At 52.2% G+C, this 25,030-nt stretch overlaps 1 protein-coding gene across 11 annotated transcripts in view, besides 5 other annotated features; it reads right to left on the bottom strand.

Moving 5' to 3' along the window:
* The window catches only part of SH3PXD2A (SH3 and PX domains 2A), a 261,550-nt gene that overhangs the window by 40,186 nt on the left and 196,334 nt on the right, over positions 1-25,030 (bottom strand). The window lies entirely within an intron of this gene.
* Positions 1,313-1,892: an enhancer, noted in NCBI's record as "H3K27ac-H3K4me1 hESC enhancer chr10:105395283-105395862 (GRCh37/hg19 assembly coordinates)". NCBI's record gives its function as "activates a minimal SCP1, AML or CMV promoter by ChIP-STARR-seq in primed H9 embryonic stem cells {active_cell/tissue: H9 hESC(primed)}" and the evidence as "EXISTENCE:reporter gene assay evidence [ECO:0000049][PMID:30033119]".
* Positions 2,475-3,054: an enhancer, noted in NCBI's record as "H3K27ac-H3K4me1 hESC enhancer chr10:105396445-105397024 (GRCh37/hg19 assembly coordinates)". NCBI's record gives its function as "activates a minimal SCP1, AML or CMV promoter by ChIP-STARR-seq in primed H9 embryonic stem cells {active_cell/tissue: H9 hESC(primed)}" and the evidence as "EXISTENCE:reporter gene assay evidence [ECO:0000049][PMID:30033119]".
* Positions 5,578-6,373: an enhancer, noted in NCBI's record as "H3K4me1 hESC enhancer chr10:105399548-105400343 (GRCh37/hg19 assembly coordinates)". NCBI's record gives its function as "activates a minimal SCP1, AML or CMV promoter by ChIP-STARR-seq in primed H9 embryonic stem cells {active_cell/tissue: H9 hESC(primed)}" and the evidence as "EXISTENCE:reporter gene assay evidence [ECO:0000049][PMID:30033119]".
* Positions 17,679-17,973: an enhancer, noted in NCBI's record as "tiled region #2777; HepG2 Activating DNase matched - State 5:Enh". NCBI's record gives its function as "activates a minimal TATA promoter and a strong SV40 promoter by Sharpr-MPRA in HepG2 cells {active_cell/tissue: HepG2}" and the evidence as "EXISTENCE:reporter gene assay evidence [ECO:0000049][PMID:27701403]".
* Positions 23,567-24,068: an enhancer, noted in NCBI's record as "H3K4me1 hESC enhancer chr10:105417537-105418038 (GRCh37/hg19 assembly coordinates)". NCBI's record gives its function as "activates a minimal SCP1, AML or CMV promoter by ChIP-STARR-seq in primed H9 embryonic stem cells {active_cell/tissue: H9 hESC(primed)}" and the evidence as "EXISTENCE:reporter gene assay evidence [ECO:0000049][PMID:30033119]".

The following is a 25,030-nucleotide window of genomic DNA, read 5'->3' on the forward strand; positions in this document are numbered from 1 at the left end:
GAAGAGGAGAGGATGCCTCCAGTGGAGAAGAGACCCAGATATGGGATCAGGAGGCCTTTGGAGCCAAGGAGAAAGGCCCTGTGTGCTTGGACATGATATGCACATAGCACCGAGGCCGTGTCTGCACATGTGTGTATCACACATTGACAGCTGAACACTGAGCAGGGCGGTCTGTGTTAGGCACTTGCTCCACATATATGACTTTATTCACACTTCGAGGATCTTGAGAAATAAATGTTCTTGTCATCATCCATCCCACTTTGCAGATGAGGACTCTAGGCTTTACAACCAGGGAGTCCAGCTGCAGAACCCAGGTTCTTAGCCACTGTCAGCGGATAAGGTACAGGTCTGTTGCATGCACGAGTATAAGGTGACTCCTTGAGAATGTATGTCCCTGAATATTGGTACTTTACACAGATACTTGAGAATGGACACATCTCTGAGCAGGTGTCTTGTATGTGCACACCATGAGGAGAGATGCCAGCCTGCATGTACCTGGGTGTCAATGTGTACAGCTGAGGGTCCTCTGGGAACAGAGGTAATTAGGGGTATTCAGTCAGAAAGACTCGAAGTCAGGTCCTGGCTTGCTGCTTCCTAGCTGTGTGACCTGAGGAAAGTTACTAGACCTTTCTGAGTCTCAGTCACCCTCTTTGTAATGACAGGAATGAATGGAGCGTATTTCCTGAGGTTGTTGAGGGGAATAAAGGAGACACTGCAGGGAGGTAGCTTAGGTTGAGCTATTATCCACATGGCGGTGGTCGTTAATCACTAGAGGGTCAGCACCCACGGGTGGCCAGGTGGCATCTGTGCAGTGCACAAGCAGAGGGCAGCCTGAGGGCATCAGGAGGCACTCACTCATCTGGGGAAACTGCCTTGAGTGTGTGTGGGCGTGTGCCTATGCATCTGCTCTAAGCTGGGGTTTTAGGGCTACCTTCAGGGGTTTCAGAAGGATGGAAGGAAGTGGACTGAGAAAGTGGCCCTATCTGTGCCCAGGTTCGGGGCAGCTGTTCTCTGGCTGGCTGCCACACCTGGCTTCTTCCCTGAGAAGTCAACCCTGGTTTCCAGGTACAAAGGAAGCAGGATCTTTTGGGAGGTGGGGCAGGGAGCTTGGTGGCAGCAAGAGATAGTGGGGACCCTCCCAAGGGGCCTGGGCTGGCTAGGAGACCCCTTAGTGCACCCTTCAGCCCAGCCTGGCAGTCAGGCCCTCTGATACCCGCCAGGGCGTTTGATGCCTGCCAGGGCCTTGCTTAGGCAGGTCTTCTTGCCTGGAGTGCCCTTATGCTGAGATGACCCCTCCCAGACAGGGGCCAGGGGAGGGGCTACCATGCTCATTCCCTTGAATGGGAAACTGCAGCCTGTTTTAGAGGAACCCTGAGAGAGGACCCCAGGTACACACGGTGTGTGGCAGAAACCTTTATTCTGGAGTCTCTAGCCCTGGTTTTCAGGGCTAAACCCCTAGACCGGAGAAGTTGTTTAGGAGAATCCCAAACTGGACAATACCCCAAAGCTGCCTCACCCTGGCCTGTCCTTCCATCGGGCCATGTCTGTGTGCCAGGGCCCAGCCCTTTCCAGATGGCAGAGGCCCAGAAAGAACGAACATGTAGCCTGGCATTTACAGCCAGCCATGCTCTGTGAGCCTTAAGTAACAACCCACTTTGCAATGACCCAGGGGCTGAGGAGAGGAGGCAGCAACATGGGGGGTTCTGGCCAGCACTTCCAGCTCAGGGCAGGGAAGGGAGGATGTCCCAGCCCCGGGAGGGAAAAGCTGGGGCCCAAGCACCAGGTCCTCCCTCTATCCAGGCTAAGCATCTTCAGTGAACCGGCCCAGCAGAGTCCACCTGTTTGGCCAATTTCAAATCTCTCTCAAATTGACTGATGCTGACACCAGAGGAGGGAGGGAAAGAGTAGAGATGAAGCTGGGCGCGGTGGCTCAGGCCTGTAATCCCAGCACTTTGGGAGGCCGAGGCAGGCGGATCACGAGGCCAGGAATTTGAGGCCAGCCTGGCCAACATAGTGAAACCCCGTCTCTACTGAAAATACAAAAAAATTAGCCGGGCGTGGTGGCGGGCGCCTGTAGTCCCAGCTACTCAGGAGGCTGAGGCAGGAGAATGGCATGAACCTGAGAGGCGGAGCTTGCAGTGAGTCGAGATCGTACCACTGCACTCCAGCCTGGGTGACAGAGCGAGACTCCATCTTAAGAAAAAAAAAAAAAAAAGAGTAGAGATGGAAACTGAGGCACAGATTGACATACACAGAGAGACAGAGGGAAATGAAAGAGTGAGCCAGACAGAGCAAGAGGCCAGGAGAGGGACCAGGGCCTTAGACTCTCCAGGAATGGGGGAGCCTGACTGAGGGCGGCAGGAAGTGACGGGCACTCCCAGGCCACTGCTGTCCCCAGGGTGACTAGGCCACAATGGCCTCCTTAAGGAGGGAGAATAATGAGCTCGTTAGGGCCAGAGTCAGGCCAGCTGCACACAATTAGGATGTTAATTAAGTCCTCTGAGGTCACAGCTCAGCCTAGGACAAAACAGCTGGTGGGGGGAGGGGAGACCCCCCACTCCTTCCTCTCCCTCTGAAATCCTCTCGTCCTCCCGCTCTGACTCCCAAACCTCCCAGCCCTGTTCAGCCCAGGATTGAGCCCAAGGATGCTTCTTAATCCCTTCTTCCTAGACAGACCTCGGTTAGGATCCTAGCTTTACCACTCACTGTTGGCGTGACCTGAGATAGGTCACTGGCCCTCTCTGAGCCTCACTGGCACACCAGAGTAATACTAAGTACCTGGGGATGCCCAGTGGCATCAGGAACATATGGTGTATGCAATACCCAGAGATTTTCACCAGCAAGTATTTCCCGAGCACCTGGTACGGGCCAGGTCCTGTTCCAGGCACGAGGACACTGCAGTGAACAACACGCATCCGGGACTCATGCTCTACTCCCCCATCACCCAGGCATGGCACACGCGGGGTTCGATTGCCGCCTGTGCCCTGGCCCTGAGGCCTGCTGGAGAAGGCTGGGCTTCAGGCTCTGGGCACAAACCCAGAGGATTTCAAGGCAGGATGAGACTCAGAGCTTGGAGTTTGGAAAAACCCAGGAGGCTTTAGATGACTTCCAGGCTTCATGTTTTCCTTCCCCGTGAGTTACTCTTGGTCCTTCACATCTGGCTTAACACCAGGTAATTCAGAGCTCAGAATGTGGGCTGCACTCATTCCATGCCCAGGCCTATGTAAGGGTTTTGGTATCCAGGTGGGGAAGGGTGCATGGTGGAGCTAGGAAAAGAGGAAGACAGGCCCTGCCTCAAACTCCTCCTCATATAGGCTCGGGGTGGGTGAACAGCAGCAGCCCACTTCCAGAACCCTCAGCCAGCACCCTGACCTGCTTCTCAAAGCACCTCTATTCATGATTTAAACCTGAGCTCAGACCTTGACCCTTTGGAAGGGTGATCTTCCTAGGCATTCCAAGTTCTTTGCTTGGTGCGGGTTTGGAGAAGGGAATAGGGCATTTGCGAGCTCCAAGTGGCGACGGGTGGGGAGACACTGAGAGGAAGAAAGGGCTGAGGGCATCCTGGCCAGGCGCATGGCACCAGCGCTGCCTACCTACCCATACCACACCCAGCACAAGGCTGGGCCCAAGTGAGTGCTGCTGTCCTGGACCCAGCCTGACCCCTTTCCCATGACCTCCAGGCAGAGCTAAGGCTTCTGCCTTTGTGGAACCAGAGAAGCTGGAAATGCAGGCTGTCTGCGAGTGCTGTGCCTTTAAGACCAGTGAAAGGCTGCCCACCCTCGGCCAGGCCTCCCCTGGTCAGAAAGCCCTGTCACTGCAGCTCTTGCCAAGACACGCGCCTCCATGGTCCAAAGCAAACAGGAGCGAGCGAGAAACTCCTCCAGTCCCTCCTGCGTGCACCCACACAGCCCCTGCCTTCATGAGCCACTCAGCGGGTCCTACCTGTGCCCACCCTGCTCCGTTGCCCAGGGCCTTCCCTCCCCTAGACGGGCTCTGAGGCCACCAGGGACCCAGAACCTCCCCTGGGCACCTGGGGCCTGGATTCCAAGACCATTAGCACAGGCTGCTACGTCACCATTTGGAAGGCTCCGTGGAGTCCGTGTCAAGACAGCCTGGGCTGCTGCCACCTTCCCACTCAGCTCCAGCCTGCCCACCTCACCGAACAGGCCCAGAAGCCAGTGCTAGGCTGGGTCCCCGCCAAGCCCACAGGGCTCTGGTGTGTCTGAGCAGACCAAGGTCATGGGTGAGGCACCCAGAAGGAGGCCTGACTAACAAGCAACGCAGGCAGAGAGGGACACATGGTTAAATGACAGGTAGCGGAGAATGGTTTCCAGCGAGGGCGCCAGAGCCAGGCTGCCTGGGATTGAGGCCCAGCTCTGCTACTTGCCAGCTGCATGAATTTGGGCAATTGCCTCAATTTTCTCATCTGCAAAACCGACCCAAAGTACCCACATCTCAGTGTTGTTACGAGGATTAGAGGAGCTAATCCTTGAAAAGCCTTCAGAATAGTGCCTGATTGGAATCAGAATAGTGCCTTCAGACGAGCACAAGTCGCAAAGCGCTGACATGAAGTGAAATTCTAAAGAAGGAACCAAGACCTCAATGCGCCTGGGTGACTGGGGCCAGGGATGGCCAGGGAAGCAGGTAGGTCTTGGGTGTCTGGAGTTTCAGGGGGAGAGAGAGACCCTCGTGGTGTCAGTGTCATTTACCCTTGACCTCAGAAGGTCTCTACTGAAAACATGTGGGTCTGATTCTGTGCCTGGCACGGGTGGGGGTCGGAGACAGGTTGAGGTGGAGATTATAAGATGGCATGAGGCCTCTCCAGGAGCTGCAGAGCAGTGGATGGATGAGAAGGGCGGCTGCTTGCAGGGGGACTTGGCACGAGACTGCTTGTGCTGGGTGCGGCAGGGCGACCCAGACAGCCCCATGCAGTGGACATGGCGGTGGGTGATACAATGCTTGCCAAGGAACCAGAGATATCCAGAGATGAGAATGACTAGGCAGAAAAGAATTCTTAGAGGAGAAGAGACTTGAATTGAACCTCAGAGTGACAGGCTGCATGGGCTCACTCTAATGGCTTCATAGGGGATTATTCCAGATGAAAATGAGGCATTCAAGGCCGGGCATGGTGGCTCATGCCTGTAATCCTGGCACTTTGGGAGGCTGAGGCAGGTGGATCACGAGGTCAAGAGATTGAGACCATCCTGACCAACATGGTGAAACCCTGTCTCTATTAAAAATACAAAAGTTAGCTGGGCATGGTGGCGTGTGCCTGTAGTCCCAGCTACTTGGGAGGCTGAGGCAGGAGAATCGCTTGAACCTGGGAAGCGGAGGTTGCAGTGAGCCAAGATCGTGCCACTGCACTCCAGCCTGGCGACAGAGCGAGACTCCGTCTTAAAAAAAAAAAAAAAAAAGAAAAAGAAAAAAAAAAAAGAAAAAAAGAAAATGAGGCACTCACCTCAAGCTGGTGCCCTCTCTCAGTGCCATTATTAAGCAGAGCACAGAGGTGTGAGCCTGTGCCCAGATTCCTAAACATGAGGCGCTCAGGAAAGATGGAAGATGCAAGAAGGTAAACTCTAATGTCACAACTGTAAATGATGTGGATGGTGAGAGAGACCTGCTGTCAAAGGCAAGACGATGGAAGATGATGGAAGAGTGGCAGTCAGGGAAGGAGAGTGGGGCGGGAAGGGGTGGCCTGCTAAGAATCCAGTCAAGACACTTACATTCTCAGAGGTGGAGCCCTGAGGACATGCTCAGGGGAACAAAAAGGGTGTTTTCCCTGCTGTTCCAGCAAGAGAAAGAGTAAGAAAGGGCTAAGTCGGCCAGGCACAGTGGCTCACGCCTGTAATCCCAGCATTTTGGGAGGCCGAGGCGGGCGGATCACCTGAGGTTAGGAGTTCGAGACCAGTCTGGCCAACATGGCGAAACCCCGTTTGTAATAAAAATACAAAAATTAGCCAGGTGTAGTGGCACATGCCTGTAATCCCAGCCACTTGGGAGGCTGAAGCAGGAGAATCGCTTGTACCCAGGAGGTGGAGGTTGCAGTGAGCCAAGATCGCACCACTGCACTGTAGCCTGGGTGACAGAGCGTGACTCCATCTAAAAAAATTAAAAAAAAAAAAAGAAAGAGCTAAGTCTCTTTCCTGAGGAGGGTGTGGCACAGGGAGGAGGGGTCTCCTGGGCTCCTGTCTGCAGCTCAGCATTCGCTCTCAGAAGGAAGGGTCTCAGCCTGGCACACGGATCCCCAGAGGGTAAGTAGACCCCAGGCAGAGGTAGGGACAGCATGGACAGGCTGCCTCAATGCACTCTCACCAGCTGGCCGCAGAGAAGGGTCCCAAGAGCATTTGACAAAGAGCCCTCCAGTCATCATCAGCAATCGTGGGAGACATGGAGATGGGAGCAACACCCAAGGACACAAAATGGGCAACGGTCCCAGCTTTTAGAGAAGAAGGCGGTGAATTCCAGAGTAGAGAAGGGCAGCCTCATGCTGGTCGTGGTTAAGTAAAACATGGACTCCCTAAGGAATGCTGGGAGAGCCTGGGAAGGGGCTCTGCACACTCACCCAGGCAGTGTCGGTCAGAAGGGTGCAACAGGAAGAAAGGGGGCCTGGCAGTGAGTGAGCTACTGGACTGGTGGGCCCGGGATGTGTCACAGCTGAGACCTCCAGGCCCTTGTGTCCCTCATGATCCCCCAGGGCCCTGGGGGCTACAGGGAAGCACTGACAGATCCACAGCTCGAGGGCTGGCACAACCCAGCAGGACGGAGTGGCTCCAATGGGAACCTGTCCTGTTGGATGTTTTAATCAACCCAGGATGAGGACAGAGACACAGTACTGGCAGCACGATCTCATTTAGCAAAAGCTGTGCCAGGATTAGGAGCCAAAAAAGAGGTCTGAACAGATGGTAATGACAGCTCAAATCTGACAAGATGCAAAGTCTTAAATGGAGAGACAAAAGGACATGGCTTAGTATGAGGATCTTAAAATTTACTGTTCAAACTTTTTGGAGCAAATGGAAGGGCAATATCAATTTTAACAACCATGACGCCAAAATCTTAGGTGCAAGCTGGGAGGGTCCAGGCAGCCTGAGTTGTGCAGGTCCCCCTCCTGGCAGTGAGGATGAGAAAGGAGTTCTGAGGACCATGTGTTCAGTATGTCTTGGGGCAGAAGTCTGTCCCCAGGTCCGTGAAATCTTAGGCTGCCTTAGGAAACTCAGAATGGGAGACTTACCCAAGGAGTGTGTGGCTAAGGGGAGGTGCCAGGATTGGCACTCAGGTCTCATACCCAGTACAGCATTCATTCAGCGACCCTTAAAACCACTCCAGCTCAGCTGTTCATTGTCTTGCAGAAGGAAACCAGCAATGCCTGCTCTATTAGTGCCCCAAATGCCTGCTCTATTATGCCCCAAATTCCCATCTGACAGATGAGCCAAGAAACCCAGTCCCTCATCTGCTTCTCCTCCACTCCACTGGTGTCTACGAAGCCCTGAGTCTTGGAAGAGTCGAGGGTGTGGCTTTTCCCACTCCTCATGGAGAGGTGGTTTTCAGGCTTGCCTCCAAGTTGCCTCTCCTCTAAGCCCACATGGTAGGGCGAGGCAGGGACACCCAGGCTGAAAGAGCGTTCTGGCACGAGATCTCACCCAAGGGCTTTGCCAGGCAAGAGTGACTCTGAATCTGCTTTCCCCAAACCTCAGGTATTTCCACACCACACACAACCTTTGCTATATCCTTGAATTACATATACTGTGGTTCATATAACATATACAGATGTGCCTTGACTTACAGTGGGGTTACGTTCCGATAAAGCCATCGTTAAGTTGACAATATCCCAAGTTCAAAATGTACTTAATACCCCCAATGACCCATCATAAAGCTGAAAAATTGTAAGTCACACCATCATAAGTCTGGAAATGGACTGTATATTTAAAGCAATTTGCCTTTTTTTTTTTTTTTTAACTTCAAGAAAGAAATTTGCTAAGGAAACTTCAGATTGCCACCATGAATAAACAACGAGGACCACTGGCTCCAACCAGAAAAGCACACACGATGAAAACAAAGCTATGTAGTACATTTGAACCGTGCCACAAATGAAGAGGCTGAGCCTGTGGCCCGCTCTTTCTTTGCTACACAGATTTGCTAGACAGGGGTTAAAGATCATCGAACATCAAACTGAGATAAGTCAGAAGGCTTGGAAGAGAACTGCAATGAGACAAACTTTTCCCACTGTGTGATGCAGAAGGATTGATATTGCCTCTCTGCCACCTAAGATCCTCCCCTGTATCATGGTGTTGGGTGGACTACAGCTTTAGGAAGCCAACGTCAGACTAGTGTGGTGCCTGGTCCTTCAGATTGGCTGAAGGAAGAGACTGAAGAATGAGGCTTAAGTTCTCATTGGTGAGATGGGAATATGAAACAGCATGTATTTACTACCAGTGTTGTGGGGAGAAAAAGAAAAGAAAAGAAAAGAATGGAAAGTGCCCAGAAATGTGCCTGGTGCTTAATAGATCTATTTGCAGCCTGGAGAAGAGAGCTGTGGTCACTTGAAATATAAAGATTATCCTTATCCATTTAACTGGCTTACTCCAGTGCCTAAGATGCGTACATGTACGAGTTTGTATATTTTTCCCCTTTCTCTCTTTGCTAAAAATGGAAGCTTCTTGGCCCCAGAATGGACTTGGTTTCAACTAAAAGCTGTAGGCTGACAACCATCCCCTCCCTCCCAGCTGAGTTCAGCCCCTCTTCAATTGGGCAAAAATAAAACGGGGACAATTTAGACTTTAAAGACCATCTCCATAAACAAAACAAACCCACTCCACAATTTGTCTAGGGCATTCCTCCCTCCAAAGCCTCCTTATTTAATTTCTGGGGAATTTTAAATAGAGGGCTTGCAAAAATCCAGTACCGCCTGACGTTAGCAGCTCTCTGACAACGTGGATTCTTCTACTTGGTGTGGGGAGCAGCCACCACGAATGCCGATGCTTTTCCAGGCTCCTTTCCCAGTTGGAATTTGGGAGCCACTGGTGTCACCCTAGGAGACAAGAGGCAGAGGGCACCCTAGGTGCCTAAGAGACAGAGTCCCACTTGGGGTCGTTTAACTCTGCATTCCCCAAGCCCTCCGGCCAGGTGAACCAATGAACCTGAGTAACACCTACACTAGTGTCATCTTAGTGTGTTTATTTAAGTTGACTTTATTTTTTAAAACTTAAACATGTATTTCAAAAAGACATTTTCCTATGCTACAGTGGATGGAAAACCAGCATTCCTAGGTATAGACGGGAGATTCCGGAAAAACACATACAATGAAACAATGCCATGAAGTTCAACAAGAGAGCAAGGCAAGTTCTAGCAAGATTCTAAGCCTGGGTCAGATTTGCTCTTGGTCAAACAAACAAATGACATCAGCCAGCGTCTGACAGATGTTAACAGCACAGGAGCCCCAAATGGAGATTCTCCCCTTGACCCAATGTGGAGTGAAAGAGAACTGAAAGGAAAGAAACTTCTCATGACGAGATTCAATGCCACTCAATGCTGTGTCCGCCCAGCACATGTTTGCACGACCCACTCTCGGGGAACCACTGATCTTCTTCAGGTGAAGCTTGGGGTAAAGAATCTGCAGACCAGGCCAGGCGCGGTGGCTCACGCCTGTAATCCCAGCACTTTGGGAGGCCGAGGCGGGCGGATCACGAGGTCAGGAGATCGAGACTATCCTGGCTAACAGGGTGAAACCCCATCTCTACTAAAAAATACAAAAAAAAATTAGCAGGGCGTGGTGGCCTCCACCTGTAGTCCCAGCTACTGGGGAGGCTGAGGTAAGAGAATGGTGTGAACCACGGACATGGAGCTTGCAGTGGGCTGAGATTGCACCACTGCACTCCAGCCTGGGCGACAGAGCGAGGCTCCATCCCAAAAAAAAAAAAAAAAAAAAAAAAAGAATCTGCCGAACCTTGGTTCAAATCCAAGCCTGGCCACAAGCAAGCTCTGAGGTCTCAACTGTTTCCTTTGAAAAATGGAAACAAAGCCACCTGCCCTACTTACCCTTAGAGAGTTACTCTGAGATAATAGATGAGAAAAATGCTTTGAAAAGGATAGGCCAGGTGCGGTGGCTCACACCTGTAATCCCAGCACTTTGGGAGGCCGAGGTGGGCAGATCGTTTGAGTCCAGGTGTTCAAGACCAGCCTGGAAAACATGGTGAAACCTTGTCTCTACTAAAAATGTAGTTTAAAAAATTTAGCGGGGCATAGTGGTACGCACCTGTGGTCCCAGCTACTCGGGGGCTGAGGTGGGAGGATCACTTGAGCCCAGGAGGTCATAGCTGCAATGAGCCGTGATCATGCCACTGTACTCTAGCCTGGGCGACAGAGTGAGACCAAGTCTCAAAAAAAAAAAAAAAAAAAGTCTCCAGGCTATAGGCTGGTGGGGGCAGAGGGGTTACTATTCTAAGCCATTTCAGAAACCCGACGGACTCCTAACTATCCCCAGTAGAACTTACTGCCTAAACTGGATGGTAGCCCATCCCTGTCCATCAGAGAAAAGGATAGGAGGGTGAATATGCCACTTGACAATTTTCTTTCACAGCTGGCCTTTCCCAATAGCCACATGGGTTTCCAATATTATCCTCATGTTACAGATATGGAAACTGAGGAGCAGAATGGCCACATGCTGGCCACAGAGTGGCTATTCAGTGGCAGAGTAGGATTCGAAGCCTTTCTTGGGGCCTGGGAGAAGTACCCCGTCTTGCTTTTTGAATGCACATGCAGCAGGGTTCAGAAGCCCCCAAATGTGTTGATGTCTTTGATTCATTGCTGTAGTACCCAGGCCCCGTCCTTCAAAGCCACTAACTTTGTGATGTTCCCCTGACTCCCCTGCCAGCCAGCGTTCTGCTCTCCTAACTCAAGGCTCCCCCATCACCTTGACCTTAGGTTTGGGTTGGCCAGTCCCCCAGCTAGACCAAGAGCTCTCTGAGGACATAGGCCGAATCTTGCTCATCTTGGCATCCTGACAAGCTCAGACTCTCTGAAGCCCAGCTCCTGGGGCCAATGCGGGATCAGCACTGGGCATCTTCTCTCCAGCTGTCTTCCTGCCGGCCCCCGCAACTTCTGCTCTGCTAGAATCCTGTGCGGTGACTCAGCCTCTGGGCAATGTTCCTTCTTCCAGTTCCCCAATTTGGGGAAATGACTTCGACCCACAGCAAGCATCTCTAGCTTACCCAGGAGGATCTGTCTTCAAGGACCCAAGGCACAGAGGTTTTTGTTGCTTGTTGCATAATTTGCCCAGGATCATCCAGTGAGCTAATACTTCCAGTCCTGACAGCTCATGTAGTCTGCTTGGATACCTGACCCGGCCATTTCCATCTGGGCCTCTCCGCTTACAGGAATGGAAGATCAAAGCTCAGGGAGGCCCCACAGGCTAATCACCAGGAACGGGCCGACATTCCTGGAGGAATGCAGGGGGTGCCACTAGCAGCATCTCCCAAGCCCATTCAAGGCAGCCCCACAGGTTGTTTGCAGGCCTCTACTGGGAATCTTGGTGGCACTGCCTCTCATCCAGGGACCACAAACAAAGTCCTCCTGGGTGCAACTCAGGGCACTGGAATGGGCAGCCCCAGAGACCTGTTTGCCCCAACTCCCAGAGGACAGTGGGGAGAGAGGCATACCAAAAATAGCTCCACAACCATGGCACAAGCCTCCAGTGGATTCACCAAGAGGCAGCAGAGTGTACAGGGGAGAACTGTGGATGACCTGAACCGTCTGGCCCTTGGCCTTCTTAACTGTAAAATAGGCATCACAATACCCATACTTTACAGGGCAGTGGTGATAATTATAAGAAAAAAGGTGTTTCGTTCCCTGCCTGACATATAGGAGGTGCTTTAATAATCTCTTTCTTGTCTTTCCCATCAGTTTCATCGGTTTCTGATATTAAGTCTCCAGAAAGCAGCAAATGGGTCTAACTTGAGCCCTAAATCCCCTTGTCCTGGGATAACCATCCTGGGGCCTCAGCTAGGTTTGTGGTGACCTAGGATTAGGTTCTCTCACTGAGCGGCTTCCTGCCCCATTCCCTTCCTGTCTCTTTTGCCTCTGGGAACCATCTTGTCTTCTTGGTTCCCAAGAATTGGTCTAGTACGGATCCCACCCCAATCCAAGGAGAAAAGGCCACACTCAAACCAGATACTCCCCTAGTCCAGATACCCCACAACACTGGCCCAGACCAGGTTTCTCATTCTAGAGACTCGCCACAGTTACAGTGACTGGTCAGGCAGTGGTGACTGACACCCATGAGTACCAGTGAGTGATACAGCTCTTCCCACACTGACCTGTCAATCTCTGGTGCCTCCCACCCCCAGCACCCACAGGGGAGAGGCCTGCAGAGAGCCAACCACCTTGTCCCACAACCAACCAGCAACCACAGTCCCCTCAGCTGGGTCAGAGCGGGCAACTGTATGTGTCCCCTGTAGACTGTCTGCTCCATAAAGATGGAGATCAAGTCTTTCCTGTTCACCTCTGTGCATCAGTGCCTGGCATACAGCAGGAGATAAAGGCTGGGGAATGAGTGAATTGAATGAACAAATGTCTGATCTCTAGCTCCTGACTATACCCTTGCTTGGTTGCTGGGTTCTGGTTTTCTCCGCTCTGAATAAGGCCCAGCCTTTGATCAATATTCTACCACTGTTTAACAGGAAGATCCAAGTACCTGAGGGCAGAGAGATGGGTAGAAAGCTGGGGGAAGTCACTGACCTGGCCTGCCTGCCACACTGCCATCTCCCAGCCTCCATGGGGTCCTCCAACCACCTCCCTTGGAGGGAGGCCTCTATGGGGAGGTCTAGACGGAGTCAGATAATAGTAGTCAGGGGTGGGGGGATGGAGGTAGGGGATTATTTTGCCCCTTTAAATATACCCTGGCTGTGGCAGGCCAAGATACCCCCAATGAGTCCCAGCTGTCACCCATGAGGAGCCACAGCTTCACTCCCCAGGAAGCGGGCAATACTGCAATATCATGGCATCAGCTCCAGCTCCCCAGCTCTGGCATAGCCCTTAGATTGGATTTGGATGTCTCCGTCCCTCAAATCTCACTGTCCTGTCTCTGGGTCAGAGTTCCTGCCCAACCTGGCTATGATTCCACCCAGCCCCTTACCCTGGAACCACTTCTAGAATGGATTTTCTCCTTCAAGGGCCTTGAGGTGGTAGGATGACCTCCTGGGAGTGGAGAGACCAGGGTGTGGAGGGCAGGTCAGGCCCCTGAGGTCCAAATGCTCCTCTCACCTGGCACATGAGCACCAACAAGATGCTCTAGCTCCACTGAATGTAGAGGCCCTTTAAATCCAAGGAGGCAAGTTTGTGTCTGGTTGTGCAGTCAGGCCTGGGACATGGAGCCTCACTTGGTGCTTGCACATGGTGCTTGGAAACAGAAGAACAGGGTTAAATTCTCCTGAGGGAGCCAGCGAGACAGGAACCCTGGATGCTCATTCTCCCCATGCAAAGCCCAGGTGCCGAGGTAACTATCCTCTCTCTCCTACAAGGAGCAGCCAGTTAAAATCCCACCCTGTGGGCAATGAGGTTCAAGCCACCCTGGTTCTGCTCCGGTTATCAATGCTGGGGAAAGCACACTCCACATAATGCCAGTGCTCCGGAGCAGCGTCGTTCATGCCCAAGCACGAAAGAGTCAATCAGATGCTTGCCCAGGAGGCACTGGTTAAGGCAGGGGGAGGGGAGGAGAAGAGGGTCCCCTAGGGGTGGGTTGGAGCCCGGAGGGATGAGAATCTCCTATTCTGTTATCTTCAGGAGCTGGTTAAGGTCTGCTCCAACGTGCTAGCCACTTCTTTGCTATCCCTGCCCGACTTCCTTCCCACCCACATATCCACGCAGGAAAGATGCATGGCAAGCACTCAGAGAATGCCAGGACACGGGCTGGTGGGCACGACACAGGTGAGGCGATGAGAAGGGCCCAGGTAGACAAGAAAGAGTATGGAAAAACAGGATTCCCCAGTGCACACAAGAAGAAATGGGGTAGTAAAAGGGTCAGGCAAATCCCTACCCCGATACCAGTGGGGGTCAGGGGAGCCCTCCAATGTTTGGCTTTTGAGATCCCTGCACCAAGCCTCTCTTTAAGCGCCAGAGCTATTGCTTTCATGGCTCTTGTTTAACTTGAGAAGGACGGGGGAGGGGGCCAAGGAAAACTGCATTCTTCCCCATCAAAGCCAAGAGTCTAAAGTAATACTTCTGGTTGTAACTGATCCCAGCCTGTTTGTGATTACGGGCCCTTTGCTTGCTTTCTGGCAGGGCGGCCCTGGAACCCCGCAGCCCAGCCGACAGGGAGAGACACCCTCGCTCACTTGGATAATCTTGTCCTCATCTGACATAACCAAAAACGTCCATCAGCCTCTCTGCTTTCAGCAGTTCTCCAGGGCAACTTTTCAAAACATTATTTTAAAAAGGAGGGGAAGCCACCCCAAACTCCTATCATGAAATTCCATGACATTCATCATATTCTTTCTGTTCCCGGCACTATCCTAAAAACCACGAGAAGCACCAGCTGGCCCACTGGCTATTGCAAATTGCAAGATCAGATCGTCTTTTGCTCCTGCCCCACCTCCCACCCTTTTGTCAGGGGAGAAAATGCACGTGCCCCCTCGCGTGCGTGTGCACACCCTTTGGCTGCCATAGTACAGAAGTGGCTCAGGGAAGCTCAAGACTATGTCTCAGCTGTTCCTTCTCCAGAAATTTAATCTGTGATGCATTTGGCTGCACAAAGCCCATTCCAAAGGTGTTCAGGAGTCCACGATCCCTGTGATCATCATTACAAACCCAAAGACGTTTGTAGCCAGTGACCCATTTGGCTGCGGGGAAGAGCTGGCTGAAGGCTTGCCAACATGGTCAAATTCCCCTCGCCTGCTCCCTCTGAGCTGAAACTGGCCCGTTTTCAGGTCCCTAGGGGTAAGATGGAATCTTAGGAGCTCCAGAACTGCAGAGATAAAGTGGGCTTCTTGCCCAGCTTGGTAACAGCACAGTCGTCAGGGGAATGGGGAAGCTTGGTATCTGGAAAGCAACCATGGCCACTGTCTCCACTCCTAATCACCCCTCCATGCTGTGGATGAGCAAAGCCGGTGCTCAGAGAGGTGAAGTGGCTTGCCTGAGGTCACTTGGCTGTTTGGTGGCTGAGCTTAGAGTCTGGGTTGACCAAGCTCCTCTTACGCAAAGCCTGGCCTTCCTCCCTCGATGGCACGCCACTGCTCTGCCCATTAACATGACACTCTGAGCACCATGCCAAGTGGCTATTCCTTGACCCAATGCCTCGAGCAAGAAGTGAGTGTCTAGAACTGGCAGAAAGCCCCACCAGTGCACAGAAAGGTCATTTGGCCAAACCAGGCATGGGAGACTCAAGTAGCCAGTGCTTCAGGTGCTGGCTTGCAGTCTCAAGCGCAAGACCCCAAGCCTTGTATCCTTGCCAACCTGTATGCTACCCCTGATCGCAGCAGCTCAAGATGCTGCTGTAATCAAAAGATGGTGAGCACGCTGAGCAGAGAGAAGGCTGGGGCCTGTGAGAATGCCGCTTAAAAGTACAGAAAACAAAAGAGAAAGACATCATGTCCAGAAACACCAGAGCTGGATGCCTGGCCAACCTCAACAGCAACCTCACCCCCTTCCTGGGGGAAGGGAGGAACACAAGGGGCTGAGGAGGCAGAGCCTCTGGACCTGAGGGGGGACTCAGCCAGCTGTAGGGCAGCCCCACCTTCCCTGGAGCACACCATGCATCCTTCCCAGCCTGACACTGGCCCCCAGAAGCCTTGCTAGATGGGGGAGTTTGCATTCTCCAGTTGGGGCACGTGAAGCTGATCTTGTGGGGAGAGGAGAGGGGAGTTAGAAAAACAGGCTCTTTAAATGCACAGGGATGGGGAGGTGCCTTTGCCTGGCTCCAGGCTCTAGCCCTAGTAACAGGCGGAAGGGCCCAGGCCAGGTGAGCAGCAGCTCAGCAGCGGCAGCAGCTCAGCAGCGGCAGCAGCTGGAGAGCCCTGCTCCCCCTCCTCCCCTCACCTGGCACCTGCCGCATCACTCCCCAGTCCTCCTGGGACCTCAGAGACAGCCACCACTGCACCAGCAGCCCACAGATGTGCCACAGCCCTGCCTCAAACTCACTATGATGCTGGGCACGTGGCTTCACTTTTCCAGGCCTCCGCTATCCCTCAGCCCCTCAGCGCAATGGGGAAGAACAGAGGAAAAGCTCTCTTTGTCTATATTTAAGGCCCTTCAAAGCCCTTGACCAGTTCCTCCAGCTTCTCTCAGGCAGCCCCCAGGCACTGTGGCTGGATCACACCTGTCCACCTGTCCACTTCACCCTCCACACCTCCACATGCATCATTCAGGTTCACTCTGCTTGGAGCACCTTCCTCCTTCAGCTTTGCCAGCCACCTGGGGCCTGCCCCTTGTTCAAGGCCTACCTTCTCCAGAAGTAGGCCTTCTGGACCCACCCAGTCCAGGCCCTGTCCCTGTCTCTGAGCAAACTTGACAGTATTCATGAAAGCTCACGGTGCCCAGAGCAGATTGAGTCCTAGCTCCAGTCCTCAGCCACACTTTGCTTTCTGCCTTGCACACTGTAGGTGCAGAGTGAAAATGACTGACTCACTACACCTGGGCTTTTTACCTTGCAGGTAAAGAGACAGCCCTAGGATGCTGTCACCTTCAGCAATGGGAAGACAGGGACAGCTGCCTCTTGTCCACGTGCACCCCAGTGCTGGCCATGCCACAGGGCACACAGTAGATGCTCATGTTTGTTGACTGAATGAGCAAACCACATCCTATGGAAGCAGCCCCTGCATATAGGATTTCACTGAGGGCTGAGATGTGATGAATGCTGGGGTAGGGGTGCGGAAGGAGAGAGGGTGGCAGGTGGCAGGTCTTCCTTAGGGGGTTTGTGTTTGGGGGAGTGGCCAGGATGGGTCTGCATAGTGGAAAGAAGAAGGCACTGTAGGCTGGAGTGCTGACCAGCCTCCCGGCAGCTGGGTCCCCACAGCTACACACCTCACACCCTTGGTGCTGCCCACCAGGTAAGCAGACTGACCTACCCACACAGACCAGCCCCTCCCCAAGGACCTGGTAAGCCAAAGGTGGGAATGCTCGTGCAACTCTCTTGTGGGAAAAGAGTCAACATGCTTCTCTTCCCTTTCAGATTCCCTCTGACCTGCTGCCCCTGGCCTTTCTCCTGCCCCAGTGGGGCTTTAGCACAACTGACCGCTGCTTTCCTGTGCTCTGTGGCCAGGGAACTCATGTGGTGAAGCACTCTGGAGTTTGGCTTTGCAAAGAAGTGAAATCTACAATGCAAATATCCAGATCTCCAAACCCTGGTCAAATGGCAGTGACTGAAGCTCATGCCCCACCTCCCAGCTGTGCAACCTTGGGGCAAGTCACTTCACCTCTCTGGGCTTCAACTTCCTCCTTGGAAAGACAGAATGCCAACATCCATCCTGCCTCTTGCCAAGATGTTTTATAGACTGCATGGTTTTATATCTTGTAAAACATAAAATACTGTGATTCAGAAAGAGATCACCTTTAAAAAAGTCCAAAATCCCCCCCTCTTAGCTAGCACGAGCAGGCATCTCTCCAGGTGGCCTTGACCTCCCCAATAACCCTCCTGGCAGGAGTGTGGAAGAACAGAACATGCAGGCTTCTGGCCACTGTCCTTAGAGCTTTCCAGGACATGGGGATCCCAGGGCAACCTGTGGCACTGCCAACGGGCCCCGTCACAAGAGGAGAGAGGGATCTGCTATCGCACACCAGTCTCAAAACCCACCCACAGTTCACTTGCTTTATGGACAGTCCTTGGCAAACTTACTCTGAGTTTGGCCTTTGCTCATTTCCCATGGTGCTCCTGGGCCACTTCCCCACAATCCGATCCAATAAAAACTCAGGGGAGGCAAACGAACTTTAGCCGGAGCCTGAGAGATGCCCAGCTAAGAAGGGGAGTGTGGAGCTGGGGCTAAGACAGTTGGATGAAACAAAACCAATGATAATCATGCACGGCATATTTCAGAGGGAAATGAACTCGGGGGTTCTATGAGCCAGAAGCTTCCGTCAGTTTCCTGGGATTCCACAGCTCAGCTCCCAGGATGGGGAGTCCTGCTGAGCCCTGGCTCCCCCAGACTTTGCAGGCCATCTGGGTGAACTGGGTCACCACAGCTACACCCCCACAATGAGGCCAGGATTCTAGGTCAGCACTGGAAACCCAGAGGATGAGGTTATGGAATCTGAAAAGATGCTGAGAGGGATGAGGGCAGCTATCCCCCACTCCCACCGGAACAATTACAGAAAACCCAACTGCTGAAGGGTGTAATATCACATGGCCACAGGATAAGCTGGGGAGAGAATGAGGAAGGGGCAATTTCCCAACCCAAATTCCCCAAGGTCCTGAAAAATTATACTCCCCAGAAAGTGTTTGCTTTACACTTTGCTGAAATCTGTTACGTAACAGTGGAGAAAATGTGTGGGGTGATCTTTTCCCTGCACTTCAGCCGGGGAGGGGGGTGAGAGACCTGTCATTTCCACTGAGGACAAAGGCAGTGTCTGTGTGTTGGGGGCAGGCAGAGGATCTCCAGGGTTGCCCACTCACAGGACACCTGTGCAAAGGTACACCTGAGTCAGAGGAGGCAAGTCACCTCTGTCAGCTCCGCTGCGGGGCTTCGAGTAGGCAGGCAGTGACAGCTGTACCTAGAATAATACTCCTTGGCCCGGCACCCGTCTCTGCCCTTGCTCACTCCTGCCCTCCCAGAACCAGCGGGCCTTCTGCTGTTCCCTGCATTCACCAAGGCCCACCTGTCCCCAGCTTTAACAACACCTCAGTGGTGTCTTTCCTGACCACACCCCTGCCCCCTCCCTGCTGCTGACGTCTCCACAGCGCCTGCTTGTTTCCTGACTTGTACTTGTCAACACCTAGAATTACTTCCTTGGTTTACTTGTCACATGTCTCTTCGCAATATTTGAGCCCCATGAGGGCTTTGTTGGCCTCTGTCACTTCTGGATCCCAGCCTGACACTTAGTCAGCTCGTACAGATTTACTGATGACCGACCGACCAGCCATCGGAAGACCAGCTTCACAGGCCCCTTGGTGTTCAAACTTGGAAAAATAACATTTTGGAGATGCTCATGGGCTCAGTCAGTAGAAACCTGTTTGTCCCCCAAAGGGAAGGCGGCCAGGTATTGCCCTGAGGCTACAACTCGGGTGAGCAGTGGTTGTCACTCTGGCACTTCTGTGGGATTTCCAGGGCTGCATGCCACACCGAGGCCACCACTAACCCATATATTTTGCTGAGAAATAACTATTCAAGGAAAATGGCCTTGGAGGAGTTTGGGACATGAGAGGTCCACAGAGCCAGTAGGTCCACAGAGTCAGGCCACAGCAACTGGACACCAGGCCTGTCCAACCTGGGCAGGGTGACAGCATGGTGGAGGGAGCACCCCCATGCTCACTGCCCCACCTGCCTGCCTGGCAGCTGGCTCCACGCAGGTAGCTGGCAGCACTTGGCATTGACAAGCCCTTGGATGCCTCCCTGACAATAGGCACTGTGGATCCAGCTGGAAGAAAGCACTATTTGCAGAGCTGCCCAGCCCCTGCCACACCTGTGCCTGCCACCCTCCTCCCCACACAGCCCGGAGGGCTTGCCTCAAGGCTCACCCTTCTCAGGGAGTTCTCCGGCTCACCAGCTTCCCGAGGCCCCACCCTCCCACCTCCTGCTGCCCAGCTCCCGCTTTTCTTCTGCTTGGGGCACATAGATGCATGCCTGCTTTGCAGTCGCAGCCCCACCACGCCCTGTACTCCTCGCTCTGCCTGTCTAATCCCTTCATTCTCCCAGCCCTGCTCAATGCCTCCAGGAAGCCTTCTCGACTATGCTTGTCTTCACCCCTGACACTTCAGCTCTGCACCATGCAACAGGGCTACTGAGGGACCATCAGCGTGGGGTTGTCATGAAAGCCCCCAATCCCATGAGGCCACCAATGGGACCCTGACTTGTGTCGCCAACCCTTCTTCCTGCTGGACTCTGTTGATTAGGCTGGGACAAGGATAACTGCCCAAGCAAGAACTCCAGGGGAGTGAGTCTGGCCCCAGAATGGGTTGTCCTGGCCTCACTGCCTGACAGTAAACCCCTCTGCTGCTATAGCCACCTCACAGACCCTCAGGAGTGACAGTCCTCAGATACCACCAAGTCAGTTCTATGACCAGATGGGGGAAATTGAGGCCACAAGAGAGAAACTGGCCCCCTGCAGGTCCCAGGGTCGATCTGTGGCAGAGCTGCCCCAATCAGTGGTCTTTCTAGTGGCTGTCACTTATTGAGCACCCACTGTGTGTCAGGCCCTGCATGAAGCACTAACTTTCTTTTGTCTTTATTATTATTATTACTATTATTTGTAGAGACAGGGCCTCACTATGCTGCCCAGGCTGGACTTGAACTCCTGGCCTCAAGTTACCCTCCCACCTCAACCTCCCAAAGTTTTGGGATTACAGGCATAAGCCACCATTCCTGGCCCTGAATTCCTTTAGAATTAGCATATACCAACCCTATAGCTGTGGGTACAATTATCCCCATTTTACAGGTAAGGAAACTGATGCTGAGAGGACCCAAGAAACTTCCCCAGGATCAGCACAGGAAGTAACCAAATCAAGATGAAAAGCAGCCTTCTCTAACACGAAGTCCATGTTCCTAACTGCTAGGCTATCCTGCAGTCTCCTTCTCAACATAATCTTGATCCTGGAGTGAATAAAGCTGAGTGGAAGGGCCCAAGACTGGGCTAGCATGCCTGCCTCTGCTCCTGGCTTTATGCTCCCAGGCCCTTTCCCCTCCAGCCAGCTCTGTGAAGTGGGTAACGGCTGCACACTGGAGATCGTCTTGGGCCAAAAGGGACTCTGCTGATTAGCCTGATATAGCAAGAACACACACACAGGCTGCACTCTGAAGAGAAGGGCTGTCAGTGCACAAGGCTTTCTGATGGCTGGGACAGGACCTCGTGGGGCCAGGCACCACCTCTGTGGCACCACATCTAAATGGAGTCTGGTTCACTGGAGCCAAACTCTTAAAAGACTGTTGCAGAAATAAGCATGTTAGTTCAGTTTTCCGCAATGCAGACTACAATAAACCTGCCCTTCTAGAAACAGCCTAGCCTATCTTTGTTGGGACACTTCTTTTCTAGGAGCAGGCGAATGTGGAAGTCTGAATTATAATAGTAATCAGGTGGTTACATAGTAAGCACAGAATCTAAGCAAGATGTAGAAGATACACATAAAATCCGTTTAAGACAATGCAGGCTGGGCATGATGGCTCACACCTGTAATCCCAGCACTTTGGGAGGCCGAGGTAGGTGGATCATTTGAGGCCAGGAGTTCAAGACCAGCTTGACCAACTTGGTAAAACCCCATCTCTACTGAAAACACAAAGATCAGGCAGGCATGGTGGTGCACGCCTGTAATCCCAGTTACTCGGGAGGCTGACGCAGGAGAATCACTTAATCCTGGGAGACAGAGGTTGCAGTGAGCCGAGATTGCACTACTGCACTCCAGCCTGGGTGACAGAGCAAGACCCTGTCTAAAAAAAAAAAAAAAAAAAAAAAAAAGCAAGCAAAGTCTGTAAGGCTATCCCAGGCTCACAATACAGTCTACCAGAATGAGCACATCAATTAGACTCTAAGCTCCATAAAGGCAGGAACCTCATGGATGTATACACAATTAGCACAAAGTATTCAAGTATTCAAGAATGGTGAAATAAACGAGTGAATAAATGAACCACTCCTACATACAGTATACTTCATCCTTACAGAAAGCCCATGTAGTATGTATCACTAGCCCCTCTTAACCATCAGAAAACAAATTGATTTCTACTTATATCACACAGTATATAGACTTAGATCTTAAACCCCGTACTGGAATTCTGGATTCTTCACCCTCTCCACCACATGCACAGGTACTGAACAAGTAAAATGGCTGTAGCCACCATGTTTTTGGGTAACTTTTCTTTAAAACCTACCCACCAACAGCCTCTGCTGAAGAGGTTGGTTAGGTAACCATGTTTATACTCTGTGATGGTTCTCCAGGACACAGCTTATTGGACCAGGGCTGGACACCCGATCTAACGTTTGCCAATCCATTGCTGGTGAGAAAACAATCAGATTCAAACTTCGAATTCTGAACTCAGAGAACCAGAGGTCAAACTCAGTTGTCGGGAGAGATCTCAACTGAAAAGTCATGCAAGTCTGGTCCTGAGAAACCAACGCCACTCAAACAAGCTGCTGTCATGGTCGGATGAGAGGAGAAGGCAGGCTGGTCTACAGTTAGAAGAGCATAGCTGTGCTTTAAATCTGCATGGTAGCTGGGCGCGGTGGCTCATGCCTGTGATCCCAGCACTTTGGGAGGCCGAGGCGGGTGGATCACCTGAGGTAAGGAGTTTGAGACCAGCCTGGCCAACATAGTAAAACCCTGTCTCTACTAAAAATACAAAAATTAGTCAGCCGTGGTAGCAGGTGCCTGTAATCCCAACTACTTGGAGGCTAAGGCAGGAGAATCGCTTGACCCAGGAGGTGGAGGTTGCAGTGAGCCGAGATCATGCCACTGCACTCCAGCCTGGGCAACAAGAGTGAAACTCCATCTCAAAAAAAAAAAAAAAAAATCTACATGGTAAGTAAGAGAGACAGAGAAGCTGCTTTGGCTCGTGCTGACTTTTGGTTCCCAGTTCCAGCCTCCTAAGGCTGATTTACTTCTCACCCCTGGGTTTGGTGAGATTTTCCTTTATTGCTTCAACAGTCTCTTGAGAAAGTCTGAGTGAATTTCTGTTCTCCGCTCACAACTCAACTGGGACTAAAGCATTGACCCTAGAGGGGAGTAAAAATTCTCAAATTCTTCCCAAGGTTTGGTTTTCTCACTTGTAAAAAAAATGATGGACCAGGAGCTCAAAATTTCTTGCTTCCATGGAAGTATAAGAACTCCCAATGTATCATGCCCGGTGCCAGGAAGTAAGCAAAGACTCAGAGAAGAAAGGTGAGGCAGGAAAAATTTTGTTGACTCATCTCCCCACTTCTTCCCCTGGCCTGCAGTCCTAAGAAGAAACAATCCTAGGAAGTTGGATGCAGCTTTGCTCAACACACAAATCAGAGTGACCAGGACCCTGATGTCACCACGCTGCCAGAAATTATGCCTGCTGGAGAGGGAAGCCAATGCAGTATTTGAGGCAAATGAATGTCCTAAAGAGGAGGCGCCTTATGCACTTTTGCTTATGTCAAGGGTAGAGGGGTTTCCAAAGACAAAGTAACAATGGCGGCTGCATGCCCTGGTATGGCTTGCTGGGTGGCAAAGCTACCAAAGCTATGAATCTTCCTGCTCTATGTGTCCCTGTATATCAATGGAGAAAAAGAGTCCTCTTCTGGTCTGGCCCTAGGCCCACTGGTTGATCACAAATGCTTTCCTTAAAGCTATTCAAGTCTCACTTTGGGTTTGACTCCTGTTCTCTGGAACAGGTTTGTCCTCAGTCCTAGGTACACATCACCTTCCTCAGACCCTCTCAGCTGTTTCTTGTCCCTAAGTTCAATGGATCAATGAACAACATGAATTCCCATTAGCTGGAAGGAGGGATGCAGAGACAACCTTCCCCACAGATGTTCCAGGGAGCTCTACAGCCATCTCACCCAGCCTGCATCTCGCCTCAACCTACAGCATTGCCAACTTGGACTTCTACCCTTCCCACCTGGGATGGGCCCATTCTCAGCCTCCCTGCATGACCTCTGTTGAGGGGAGAGATCTTAGCTCTTGGACTCTAAGGCAATTACTTAGCCTCTTAGCCTATTACTTCAGCCACAAATTGGTTAAACTCCCTTCTACTGCATGGTGTTGTTCCATGATATCCCAAAAGAATGATGTATGTGAAGCATGTGGCCTGCCACCTGGTGTTTACTGACTCAGAATCACCTTCCATGCACATCTCTCTTTAGACCAATGAGAGCACAGAGGGGCTCTGATGAGCAGGCAGAGCCAGAGGTGGCTGGGTCCCCCTGTGGACACTCTACTTGAGGCACTCCCAGCCAAGTGAGAGGGGACAAAGGCAGAGTCCTGGCACCCTGTGGGCAAGGCAAGGCCCAGGGAGGTGGGGATGGTGCTGGCTGGGGCCATTGCCCAACAACGCAAATGGAAATGCCTCAACACACCCACTGTGTCCCAAGGTCAAAGGCTTCACAATTGGGTCTTTGTTCCTGAGTTCAAAAGCCTCACTCACCACTCCTTCAGGTTGCACAAGACGCCTCCTCTCCCCCACCGTCAGGCCTCCAGCTTCCCTGAACTGGGAAGCGACCATCCCAGAGATCTGCAGCTTGGCCCTCTTCCTTTCTCCCCTCCACCCACTTCATTTCTCTGGTTAGGCTGGATGTATACTCCAGGCCTCCTAGTAGATAGCAACAGACGGGTTTGAATAGGTAGGCACAGCACTGCAGGTCCTGTGCAAATATCTGCAGCTGAGCAGCTGTCTCTACCAACGGTAAAGATACGAAACTCCCAGAAGTAGAAAAGCCATGTTCAGGGAAACTCTTTCTACCCGACACCTTGAGTCCCACCAAGTTTCCCAGCCTTGGAGTTCAGACCTGAGAGAGAGCTCAGGGAGGTCATTTGCTCCAGCCCCTGCTTCCAACCAGCCACAAGGTCATCTCCATTTTATGGAAGGAATAACTGAAGCCCAGAGAAGTTAAGGGACATGAAGCCCCCCAGCAGGCAGTGGCAGGTAGAATGCGGCTTCTAAGAACAGCAGCTCCCTCACACAGTCTGCGTGCCAGACTGGCCTGCTCTGGCCACGGGTGGCCGTGGGGAGCTGGGGTGCCTGGGCCACCTCTAACAGCCATCAGCAGCTCCTCAGGAGAGCAGGCATCTCCCCCTTTGTCAAGGCTCCTTCCCCCAATCCTAGGACTCCAGTGTCCCAGGGTCCTGTAGATGGGATAGGAGGGGAGAGGGCGCACATGCCCTGGGAATCCTGGAGTCTTCCAGCAGGATGACTTCCTCTTGTGTGCTCTCATCTTCAGCCATCCT

The sequence above is a fragment of the Homo sapiens genome, chromosome 10 (assembly GCF_000001405.40).
Source record: "Homo sapiens chromosome 10, GRCh38.p14 Primary Assembly".
Lineage (NCBI taxonomy): Eukaryota > Metazoa > Chordata > Mammalia > Primates > Hominidae > Homo > Homo sapiens.